The sequence below is a fragment of the Homo sapiens genome, chromosome 20 (assembly GCF_000001405.40).
Source record: "Homo sapiens chromosome 20, GRCh38.p14 Primary Assembly".
NCBI lineage: Eukaryota > Metazoa > Chordata > Mammalia > Primates > Hominidae > Homo > Homo sapiens.
The window spans coordinates 34,477,288-34,490,475 of NC_000020.11; the positions used below are offsets into that span (position 1 = coordinate 34,477,288).

At 39.7% G+C, this 13,188-nt stretch overlaps 1 protein-coding gene across 14 annotated transcripts in view; it reads left to right on the forward strand.

Annotated features, from left to right (window-relative positions):
* ITCH (itchy E3 ubiquitin protein ligase) overlaps positions 1-13,188 on the forward strand; it is a 148,501-nt gene that overhangs the window by 114,015 nt on the left and 21,298 nt on the right. For 13 of the 14 annotated variants that reach the window (NM_001324197.2, NM_001324198.2, NM_001257137.3 and 10 more), the window contains 6 exons: positions 485-573; positions 2,343-2,502; positions 3,312-3,445; positions 3,779-3,919; positions 11,979-12,099; positions 12,535-12,639. In NM_001324197.2, the coding sequence (NP_001311126.1) occupies positions 485-573; positions 2,343-2,502; positions 3,312-3,445; positions 3,779-3,919; positions 11,979-12,099; positions 12,535-12,639 (750 nt within the window). Of the gene's footprint in view, positions 1-484; positions 620-2,342; positions 2,503-3,311; positions 3,446-3,778; positions 3,920-11,978; positions 12,100-12,534; positions 12,640-13,188 lie in introns of those variants that run through there. The other variant, XM_047440538.1, reaches the window with a different exon arrangement.

Here is a 13,188-nt window from a genome sequence, read left to right on the forward strand (position 1 = left end):
TGGGAGGCCAAGGCCGGTGGATCACCTGAGGTCAGGAGTTTGAGACCAGCCTGGCCAACATGGCAAAACCCCGTCTCTACTAAAAATACAAAATTAGCCGGGCGTGGTGGCGCACACCTGTAGTTCCAGCTACTTGGGAGGCTAAGGCAAGAGAATCGCTTGAACCTGGGAGGTGGAGGTGTGGTAAGCCGAGATTGTGCCATTGCACTCCAGCCTGGGCAACGAGGGAGAGACTGTCTAAAAGTAAATAAATAAATAAAATCACGTGTATAAGGTATATAAAAATATAGATGTATATAATAAAATATTATTAAACGTTACTATAATGTATTTTCTGTATGTGTGGTTTTGACTAGACCATGAACACCTTTCTGTGTCATGGGAGATTTCAGTTACCTATAACGAAGGAGATGTCAAACCTAGAAGTGGTAGACAGTGTTTCAATAGCTTTTTTCACCAATTATTTTACTTTATTTTTTTTTAGATAATGAGCTTCAGTCCCCAAGATCTGCGAAGACGTTTGTGGGTGATTTTTCCAGGAGAAGAAGGTTTAGATTATGGAGGTGTAGCAAGGTAGTGATAATATGAATACTCAGAACTTAGTTCCTTTCCTCCAAAGGTACCATTGCACTTCGCTTGCAAGTATTATTTTCTCAATCTTATATTTTAGGAAAATGAAATATGTCAAATTATTATACCTTTATTATGCTGTAGCTACAGAATTTCAAAAAACATTTAATTCAGCACTTTCTATGTCATGTACAGCTGATTGATTTCACCCACATCACTCATTTAATCTTCAGGGTAACCTTGTGATACAGAATTTTATAGGATGATGAAGAGGCTTAGAGACTCACCTAAGGCACATAATAAATTGTAGAGCCTGGATGCAAGCTTTGTATCATTTAACCAGTAGCCAGTGTTAAGTCTACCACCTCTTATATCTGTTCCACAGAAAACACAAGGCCTTATAGTGATCAGGTCATTTTCCCCACCACAGATTACTGATACAGGTAATAGTTACTCAGTTTCCAACTGAGATTAGTATATTTGTCATGAAAATATAGAAGGTTGTACAAAATAGGAGTTGAAAGTCTTAATTCTGCTTTCTTCATATTGGAGCTTAATATTGGACCCTAGAAGATAGTCTCTAATGAGAATTGCTTTGCTTATTCCATGATAATATATCACACCAGGTTAAAAATTTGCGTAGAGCTGGCATTGTGCAAAGACAAGGACTTTGGGGTCAAGACGGGATTTGAATCTTTTTCTGCTCTCAATAGTGTGATGTTGGGCAAATATTTTCATCTGTAAAATAAGAATATTAATATCTACATTTCTAGGATTATTGTGAAGAGTAGAAATATTGTTTATTAATGACCTAGTTCAGAGCCTGTGTCTTTGTGTGCACGCTAATTGGTGGCTACATTTTAGTAGTTCTTATTTATATTATGTTTCTGAGTTTAAATAAAATTATTTCAAAATATATGATATAATCATAGATAAATAACAAATATGAGTAGAAACATGTAATTTTGTATAAGTTAAAGGCAATTGAAGAGGAGAGCAATCATTCATTCCTAATAAGAAAATAAACTAGCAATATTAAAGTGTGTCATGAGATACACTTATCACAAGAGGCCATGAACTAACAGGAAAAGAGATCCAGATTACAGGCTTATGCCACATGTATTACCCCAGATCACCCATGTTACGTAGTTTTAGTAACCATAATCTTATGTTAATATTGGTTCATATTTTCACAATATTTGACTTAGAGTCTCAGCATTTTTCTAATATGTGAGTGGCTGGAATTAAGAACTTTACTGCCTCTGTGAAATTGGAAGAATTTTCATATTGATTTAACGTGTAGGGAGTAGTGGCACTTGATGGGGATTATTATGGGACTTAGTAATAGATGGAATATTAGATTGATTTCAGCCACTTTACTCACATGGGTAAATAGTGAATTTTAAATTTGCCTATGAATAGTATTTCATTGATTCTAAGACTAATATTTTCATTTTATAATATCTCTGAAATTACGATGTATCTCAGGTAAAATTGGAAAATACAATTTAGTCGTTCATCAAATAAAGGTGCAATGTTGTCTTAGATTTTTTGAAATGTAATAATGTATATATTACCATCTACCAAAGATGGTGTATACTACCAACTCTGTGAAACAGATGTGAGTTTGAACAGAAGCAATAAAAATCAACATGAGATTAGAAAACTATCACTAGCTGAGGGGTATAGATCCCTGAGAACTTTATAGCACTGTTCTTTGATTTCTTGGTAACCTACAAGATTTTTCATCGTAAATTTTCTTTTGATTTCAGAGAATGGTTCTTTCTTTTGTCACATGAAGTGTTGAACCCAATGTATTGCCTGTTTGAATATGCAGGGAAGGATAACTACTGCTTGCAGATAAACCCCGCTTCTTACATCAATCCAGATCACCTGAAATATTTTCGTTTTATTGGCAGATTTATTGCCATGGTAAGTGCAGGTCAAGAATTATGTTTACTTTGCTTATTCAGCAATACTAAATTTTCTCTTAGGTGCCATAACAGATCATATGAGAGAAAGGGAAGTGGTTTTTTGTTTTGTTTTGTTTTTTATTTTTGAGACAGAGTCTTGCTCTGTCACCCAGGCTGGAGTACAGTGACACGATCTTGGCTCACTGCAACCTCTGCTTCCTGGACTCAGTCAGTTCTCCCGCCTCAGCCTCCCAAGTAGCTAGGATTACAGGTGTGCGCCACCATGCCTGGCTAATTTTTGTATTTTTAGTAGAGAAGGGGTTTTGCTATGTTGGCCAGGCTGGTCTTGAACTCCTGACCTCAGGTAATCCACCTGCCTCAGCCTTCCAAAGTGCTGGGATTACAGGTATAAGTCACCGTGCCCAGCCAGGGAAGTGTTTTTTTGAGACAAAGTTTCACTTTTGTTGCCCAGGCTAGAGTGCAATGGCGTGATCTCGGCCCACCACAACCTCTGCCTCCCAGGTTCGAGCAATTCTCCTGCCTCAGCCTCCCGAGTAGCTGGGATTACAAACAAGCATGTGCCACCATGTCCGGCTAATTTTTGTGTTTTTAGTAGAGATGGGGTTTCTCCATGTTGGTCAGTCTGGTCTCGAACTCCTGACCTCAGGTGATCCACCCACCTCGGCCTCCCAGATTGCTGGGATTACAGGCGTGAGCCACCATGCCTGACCCAGGGAAGTGTTTTTAAATGAAGAGTACATCTAATATATTGAAATAAAATGATTATTGTACAGTTATTTTAAGCGGTCTTGTTTCCTTTTTTCATAGGCTCTGTTCCATGGGAAATTCATAGACACGGGTTTTTCTTTACCATTCTATAAGCGTATCTTGAACAAACCAGTTGGACTCAAGGATTTAGAATCTATTGATCCAGAATTTTACAATTCTCTCATCTGGGTTAAGTAAGTTTCTTTTTCCATGTAATTTATTAAAATATAGTTATATGCATTCCGTGTAGTATTGATAACTTATCCAAACTGTAGGCACATAATTGGTTTATTGTATTTAAATGATCTATATATCAAACCTGTCTTTTTATTCAATATGATAAATTTTACAAAAATACACCCAAGATCTTCGGCAATAATATGACCTTAGAACAGAATCTTATTTCTTCTTATTTTGATGTTATAGCTTAATATTAATTATTTAAGAACATGGGCCTTTCGTTAAAAACTTATAAATTATGATTGAATTGGTGGATATAACAAATAGTGCTAATTTCATTTGTGCAGGGAAAACAATATTGAGGAATGTGATTTGGAAATGTACTTCTCCGTTGACAAAGAAATTCTAGGTGAAATTAAGAGTCATGATCTGAAACCTAATGGTGGCAATATTCTTGTAACAGAAGAAAATAAAGAGGAATACATCAGGTGAGAGTGCTCCTTTTCACATTTCACTTTTTGTTTGACTACAGCACATTGATAATTGCTTACTAATACTAATGGAGAGTATCTCCAAAAATAGTATTTGTCTCTGTACTAATCAATATCCTATGTAGGCAGTCATTTTTCATTTCTAAAAAGTTTTTTTTTAAGTGTTTTTAAAAGAGTTTTAAGGATAAAAGTCATGCAGGATCACTCTTTTAAACATCAACTCTGTAATCACTATGCTGTATAACATGTCATTAAAAAGAATCTCAAATATATATGCAGATATTTTCATGGGGAATATTGTAAGGTGTATTAATCCACTTTCCTGCTGCTGATAAAGACATATCCAAGACTGGGCAATTTATAAAAAAAAGAGGTTTAATGGACTTACAGTTCCACGAGGGTGGGGAGGCCTCACCCTCATGGTGGAAGGCAAGGAGGGGCAAGTCACATCTTACATGGATGGCAGCAGGCAAAGAGAGAGCTTGTACAGGGAAAACTCCTGTTTTTAAAACCTCATCATCGGCCAGGCATGGTGGCTCATGCCTGTAATCCTAGCACTTTGGAAGGCCAAGGCAGGCAGATCACAAGGTCAGGAGATTGAGACCATCCTGGCCAACATGGTGAAACCCCATCTCTACTAAAAATACAAAAATTAGCTGGGTGTGGTGGCATGTGCCTGTAATCCCAGCTACTAGGGAGGCTGAGGCAGGAGAATGGCTTGAACCTGGGAGGCGGGGATTGCAGTGAGCCAGGATAGCACCACTGCACTCCAGCCTGGTAACAGAGCAAGACTCTGTCTCAAAACAAACAAACGAATGAACAAAACACTTCATCATATCTTGTGAGACATATTCACTGTCATGCAAACAGCAGGGGAAAGACCCACCCCCGTGATCCCATGATTCAGTTATCTCACTGATTCTCTCTTACAACACATGGGAATTATGGGAGCTACAAGGTGAGATTTGGGTGAGGACACAGAGCCAAACCATATCATTCTGCCCCTAGCCCCTCCCAAATCTCATGTCTTCACATTTCAAAACCAATCATGCCTTCTCAACAGTCCCCAAAGTCTTAACTTATTTCAGCATTAACTCAAAAGTCCACAGTCCAAAGTCTCATCTGGGACAAGGGAAGTCCCTTCCGCCTATGAGCCTGTAAAATTAAAAGCAACTTAGTTACTTCCTACATACACTCAGGGATACAGGCATTGGGTAAATACAGCCATTCAAGATGGGAGAAATTGGCCAAAACAAAGGAGCTACAGGCCCCATGCAAGTTTGAAATCCAGCAGGGCAGTCAAATCTTCAAGTTCCAAAATGATCTCTTTTGACTCCATGTCTCATATGCAAGTCACCCTGATGTAAGAGGTGGCCTCCCATGGCCTTGGGCAACACTGCCCTTGGGGCTTTGCAGGGTATAGCCCCCCACCGGCTGCTTTCATGGGCTGGCGTTGAGTGTCTATGGCTTTTCCAGTCTCATGCTGCAAGCTGTTGGTGGATCTACCATTCTGGGGTCTAGAGGACGGTTGCCCTCTTCTCACAGCTCCACTAGGCAGTGCCCCAGTAGGGACTCTGTATGGGCCTCCAACTTCACATTTCCCCTCCACACTGACCTAGCAGAGGTTCTCTGTGAGTGCCCTGCCCCTGCAAGCAGACTTTTGCCTGGGCATCTAGGCATTTCCATACGTCTTCTGAAATCTAGAGGGAGGTTCCCAAGCCTCAATTTTTGCCTTCTGTGCACCCTCAGGCTCAACAGCACGTGGAAGCTGCCAACTCCTGGGGCTTCCACCTTCTGAAGCAACAACCCGGGCTGTACCTTGGCCACTTTTAGTCATGCTGGAGCAGCTAGGAAACAGGGCACCAAGTCCCTAGAGTGCACACAGCGTGGGGACCCTGGGCCCGGCCCATGAAACCATTTTTAGCTCCTAGGCCTGCCTACAGGCTTGTGATAGGAGGGGCTTCCATGAAGACCTCTGACGTGCCCTGTAGACATTTTCCACATTGTCTTGGGGATTAACATTCGGGTCCTCATTACTTATGCAAATTTCTGTAGCCAGCTTGAATTTCTCCTCAGAAAATGAGATTTTCTTGTCTATTGCATTGTTGGGCTGCAAATTTTCCAAACTTTTATGCTCTGCTTCCCTTACAAAACTGAATGCCTTTAACAGCACGCAAGTCTCCTCTTGAATGCTTTGCTACGTAGAAATTTATTCCACCAGATACCCTAAATCATCTCTCTCAAGTACAATCGTCTCTCTCAAGTACAAATCCACCAGTCTCTAGCACAGGGGCAAAATGCTGCCAGTCTCTTTGCTAAAACATACAAAGAGTCACCTTTGCTGCATTTCCCAAAAAGTTTCTCATTTCCATCTGAGAACACCTCAGCCTGGACTTTATTGTCCATATTGCTGTCAGCATTTTGGTCAAAGCCATTCAACAAGTCTATAGGAAGTTCCAAACTTTCCCACATTTTCCTGTCTTCTTCTGAGCCCTCCAAACTGTTCCAACGTCTGCCTGTTACCCAGTTCTAAAGTTGCATCCACATTTTCAGTTATCTTCAGCAGCACCCCACTCCTGGTAACAATTTACTGTTTTCACACTGCTGCTAAGACATACTTGAGAGTGGACAATTTACAAAAGAAAGAGGTTTAATGGACTTACAGTTCCACATGGCTGGGGAGGCCTCACAATCATGGTGGAAGGCAAGGAGGAGCAAGGCATGTCTTACATGAATGGCAGCCGGCAAAGAGAGAGCTTGTGCTGGGAAACTCCCATTTTAAAACCATCAGATCTTGTGAGACTTATTCACTATAATGAGAACAACATGAGAAAGGCCCGCCCCCATGATTCAGTTATCTCCCACTGGTTCTCTCCCATAACACATAGGAATTATGGGAGCTACAAGATGTGATTTGGGTGGGGACACAGAGCCAAACTATATCATAAGGTTGGGTAAAATTTATAACTAAAATGATGTTTTATAGTATATCCTTTCTGATTATTTCCATTGGTTCATGCTACTAGTCTCAAGAGCTAATAGTTCATTCATACCTTCTCAATAGCAATTCTTTCCAGCCAGGGTTAAATTTTGCATATTTACTTCTTAAGTTCCAGGTTCTGCATTTCTTGCCTGGTTTTTCCCTCCATAATTGAAAGTATACTATTTAACACAGTGAGCTGTCATTATTTCTTGGACAACAATCTATCCTTTTAAAAGTTTATTTTGAAATCTGCTTTTAAAATGTAGTCAATTCGTTTTTGTCAATTCTCCAGTTTTTTTGTTATGATATGTCTAGATTTTCTTATGACATATATAGCATTCCAGAGAGGTAATGTTTCGAGATTCCAAGAGATGTACTACGTTTCTCAATAGTTTTGTTGCTGGTAAGATAACATTTTAAGATAATGGGCAGCTAAAAAGGTTTTTAGTATCTACTTCAATAATGGCTTGCTTAAAATTTCAGAGTTTGGGGGGTTTTTAGTATTATTTTAAGAAGTATAATTTCCTTAGAATAAAATGCACTGATCTTAAGTGTAGAAGTTGAAATTTGACAAATATATATATCAGCCCAAATGTGAGCATTTTATGGAGAGAAGTTGTGCTAGATCACTCATTTAATTACCAATTCTGTAAACACTGTTCCATATAGCATCATGTCCATGTAAATATGACCCAAATTGTGGAACTTTTTTTTCTATTCTGGACCCCATAAGGGGCCAATGCACACCTCCCTTCTCCCAGCCCCAGAGGTAGGTAACCATTTCTGTTTAGTTCTATTTCTATAACTGTTTCTGATCTTAAACTTCCTAAAATGAAATCATAGAGTATGTACTCTTATATCTAGCTTTTAGTGTCTGATTTTTTCTTTTATTTGGTGTTTGTGAGATTCAGCCATATTGTTTATATCAGTATTTTATTCCTTTTTATTGCTGAGAAATATTCCATGCTGTGTATATCTCAAAATTTGTTTATCCATTCTCTTGGTGATAAATGTTTTGGTTGTTTCTCAGTCTGGGGCTTTTATGAGTAAAGCTGCTATAAACATTCTTGTGATATCTTTTTGTGGACATATTTTTCTTGAGTAAATACCTAGGAGTGAAATCGCTGGGAAGGTGTTTGACTTTATTAGAAACTGCCAGTTTCCCAAAGTGTTTTTGCCATTTTGCAGTCCTACTAGTAGTATTTGAGAGTTGCTTCACGTTCTTGCCAATTCAGCATTGTCAGTAATATCTCGTGGTTTTAATTTCCATTTCTTCCTTGACTAATGGTGTCAAGTACGTTTTTCTATGCATATTGATCATTTGTAGCTCTTCTTTTGTGATGTGTGTATCCAAATCTTTTATCCATTCTAAAATTGGGTTGTCTTTTTATTTGTGATTGTTGGAGTTCTTAAATATTTCAGATCATTGATTTTAGAAACTCTTCTCTTTCCCTTCTTCCCTCCCTCTTCTTACCTTTTCTTACGATACGTCTAGATTTCGTTCTTCTTTGACGGAGTCTTGCTCTGTTGCCGAGGCTGAAATACAGTGGCACGATCAGAGCTCACTGCAGTCTTAAACTCCTGGGATCAAAGGATCCCCCTGCCTCATCCTTCTGAGTAGCTGGGACTGTAGGCACAAGCCACTGTGCCCAGCAAATTTTTTGGTTGTTTTTATTTTTGTAGAGATGTGGTCTTGCTATTTTGCACAGGCTGGTCTCAGACTCCTTGCCTTAAGCTATCCTCCCACATTCTGTTTTCTAATATAAGGATTTAAAGCTGCATATTTCCAACTAAGTATTTCTTTAGCTATATCCCACAATTTTTTGTTGTTTTTTTTGAGATAGAGTCTCACTCTGAGGTTGCCCAGGTTGGAGCGTAGTGGTAGAGTCATGGTTCACTGTAGCCTCAACCTCCTGAGCTCCAGATAGCCTCCCACCTCAGCCTTCCAGGTAGCTGGAACCACAGGCATGTACTACCATGCCTGGCTTACTTATTTATTTATTTATTGTAGGAGATGGGTCTTACTATGTTACCCAGGCTGGTCTCCAAACTCCTGGATCCAAACGATACTCCCACTTTGGTCTCCCAAAGTGCTGGAATTATAGGCATGAGCCGCCGCATCCAGTCCACACCTTTTTTTTTTTTTCCCCCGAGACAGAGTCTTGCTCTGTCGCCCAGGCTGGAGTGCAGCGGTACAATCTTGGCTCACTGCAACTTCCATCTCCTGGGTTCAAGTGATTCTTCTGCCTCAGCCTCCCGAGCAGCTGGGATTATAGGCACCCGCCACCACGCCTGGCTAATTTTTGTATTTTTAGTAGAGACGGGGTTTTGCCATGTTGGCCGGGCTTGTCTTGAACTCTTGACCTCAGGTGATCCGCCTGCCTCAGCGTCCCAAAGTGCCTGGATTACAGGCATGAGCCACCACGCCCAGCCACAAATTTTGGAATGTTGTGTTTTTCACTATTTTATTTATTTTATTTATTTATTTATTTATTATGTTTTATTTTTATTATTAATATTTTTGAGACAGGGTCTCACTTTGTCACCCAGGCTGGAGTGCAGTGGTGAAATCTTGCCTCACGGCAGCGTCCAATTCCAGAAGTTCAAGCGATCCTCTAGCCTCAGCCACCAAGCAGCTGGGACTACAGGCATGTGCCACCACACCCACATGACGAGATGGGGTTTCACCGTGTTGCCCAGGCTGGTCTTGAACTCCTGTGCTCAAGGGATCCACCCACCTCAGCCTCCCAAAGTGCTGGGATTACAGATGTCAGCCACCACATCCAGCCACTCTCATTGTATTTAAAAGTATTTGTTAGGTTTTTTTTTTTTTTTTTTTGAGACGTAGTCTCTCTGTCACCCAGGCTGGAGTGCAGTGGTGCCATCTTGGCTCACTCTAAGCTCCGCTCCCTGGGTTCACGTCATTCTCCTGCCTCAGCCTCCGGAGTAGCTGGGACTACAGGCGCCTGCCACCACACCTGGCTAATTTTTTTGTATTTTTAGTAGAGACAGGGTTTCACCGTGTTAGCCAGGAAAGTCTCAATCTCCTGACCTCGTGATCCCCTCACCTCAGCCTCCCGAAGTGCTGGGATTACAGGCATGAGCCGCCGTGCCCAGCCAGGTCTTATTTTTATCCTGATAATCTCTACTTTATAATTGGAGTGTTCAGTACATTTATGTTTAATTTTATTACTGATTTGGTTGGACTTTTGTCTAACCATTGCTATTTGTTTTGCTATTTGTCTCGCCTTGCTATTTGTTTCTTATTTTTCCCAACTTTCTTTGTTCTTTCTTGCCTTCTTTGAATAAAGCAATTTTTACTTTCTTTTTTAGCTCTTCTGTTGGTTTTTTAGCTATACCTCTTTGTTTAACTTTAGTGGCAACTCTAATGATTATGATAATATGCATCTTTAACATCCCTGTTGACCCAAACACTACTTCTTGTACAATATAAGAAGCTCATAGGCCAGGTGCGGTGGCTCACACCTGTAATTCCAGCACTTTGGGAGGCTGAGGTGGGCAGATTGCCTGAGGTCAGGAGTTCGAGACCAGCCTGGCCAACATGATGAAACCCCGTCTCTACTAAAAATACAAAAATCAACTAGGCATGGTGGCAGGCACCTGTAATCCCAGCTACTTGGGAGGCTGAGGCATGAGAATCGCTTGAACCCAGGTGGCGGAGGTTGCAGTAAGTCGAGATCACGCCATTGCGCTTCAGCCTAGGGGACAAGAGCGAGACTTCGTCTCAAAAAAAAAGAAAAGAAGCTCATAATAATATAATTCCATTTACCTCACTCCAGCTCTTTGTGGTGTTGTTGTCATATATTATTTCTACGTGTCACAAATATAATACTTTGTTACTGTTATTCTTGCTTTAATTTTTAACTATTTTCAAAAATAATCTTATATTTACTCACATTACTATTTCTGGTTCTCCTTATTTCTTTCCTCAGATTCATTTTTTTTTTTAAATCTAAGATAATTTCCCTTTGGCTTTAAAAAAAAAAACCTTTCTTTACCATTTCACTTAGTGTGCATCTCTTGGTGATGCATTTTCTCAGCTTTTATATGAAAACATCTTTATTTCACCTTCATTTTTTGAAGGATATTGTCACTAGATTTAGAATTCTAGGTTTATAAAATAATGATGCGGTCATGTTTTTATGATTTATGTTTTAAAAAATAATCCTCATGTCGTAGAGACAAATACTGAAGTATTTGTTCAAAATGAAATTATCTGGGCTGGGCGTGGTGGTTCGTGCCTGTAATCCCAGCACTTTGGGAGAAGGCAGGCAGAACACTTAAGGTCAGGAGTTCAAGACCAGCCTGGCCAACATGATGAAACCCCCGTCTCTACTAAAAACACAAAAATCAGTTGGGTGTGGTGGCGCACGCCTGTAATGCCAGCTACTCGGGAGGCTGATGCACAAGAACTGACTGAACCTGGAAGGTGGAGGCTGCAGTGAGCCCAGATTGTATCATTGCACTCCAGCCTGAGTGACAGAGCGCGACCCTGTCTCAAAAAACAAAAACAAAATAAAAGAAAAAAAAAGAAATTATATGGCTTGGCAATGGTGGCACACGCTTGTAATCGTAGCACTTTGGATGGCGGAGGCAGGAAGATCACTTGAGGCCAGATATTTAAAACCAGCCTTGGCATCACAGAGAGACACCATCTCTACATACAAAACCAAAAATCAGCCAGGCGTGGTGTTGCACACCTATATTCCCAGCTACTCGGGAGGCCGAGGTAGGAGGATTGCTTGAGCCCAGGAGGTCGAGACTGCAGTGAGCCAAGATTGTGCCACTGTGCTTCAGCTCAGGTGACAGAGTGAGACCTCATCTCAAATAAATAAAGAAATGAAATTATATGATATCTAGGGTATGAGTAGGGGCATAGATGAAATAGATGGGCATTGTGATGAAGCTTGGACATGTGTACAGGGGGTTCATTATGTTCTATTTTTGAATATATTTTAAGTTTTTTATAATTTTTTAAAATTTATTTTTATACTCAGAATTTAAAGATAAGATCTAAACTTCCTGATAGGTTTTTTCATATTTGTTTGCCAGAATGGTAGCTGAGTGGAGGTTGTCTCGAGGTGTTGAAGAACAGACACAAGCTTTCTTTGAAGGCTTTAATGAAATTCTTCCCCAGCAATATTTGCAATACTTTGATGCAAAGGAATTAGAGGTAATGAATTTTCCTTCATTCCCCTGTACCATGCTAGTAAATAATGCCTTAAGTTGTCTGCTTTTAACTCACTTTCCCATCTTTCCTGTTACTGTAATATTTTTATACTGGGGCAAAATGTTTTGAAACATCCCCAATGGTTAAAGAAAATCATAATTTATCCAAAGATAAAACAATAGTATTACCCCCTCCAAAGTACAAATATTAGAGCTTCTCTACAATTGAGTGACTTACTTCCCTGAATATGTATATGTATGACACCGTGCATGGAACCTTGCCTTCATGAGCAATGTAGATATAATTCTTGATGTATAGTTGATAAGTCAAAGCCTACTGATTGTTATTCTAAAGCTTTGCTTAATCTTAGTCTTTCCTATGTCCAGCTGTTTTTGTACAGTTACCTTAGGAAACAATTTGTCTTTTTCATCCCTAAAGGTCCTTTTATGTGGAATGCAAGAGATTGATTTGAATGACTGGCAAAGACATGCCATCTACCGTCATTATGCAAGGACCAGCAAACAAATCATGTGGTTTTGGCAGGTTTGTTTTTAAATTTATTTCTATTAGTTGACACAGCATAATTTTTTAGAATTTGCTTACCACATATGGAAATGAGTCACAGGTCAAAATGTACCAGTGTATATAGACCCCTTAGTCCATGCATTATAATAAATGAATACAGATTATAACAGCATCCTTTTAAGACTATTGCCAAGTAAGCCACACATACCTTGCATCTTTGTCCAAAGTAGAGTGTAAGACAATTCGAGATGATAAAATTTACCTACATTTGATTTAAATGGTTTTGGGGTTTTATAGGACTGTCTGTAGTATGTTTTTTATCATTTATACTTCATTAATTATATAATGTTCAGAAGGCAAAATTTAAGAGACTTGGTTTAGAATCATAACGGTATCTCTCTAAAAATGTCTGCCTTAAGCATGGTATATGATGTTCAACATCATTAGTCATTAGAGAAATGCAAATCAAAACCACAGTGAGGCTGGGTGCGGTGGCTCACACCTGTAATCCCAGCACTTTGGGAGGCTGAGGCGGGTGGATCACGACATCAGGAGATCAAGACCGTC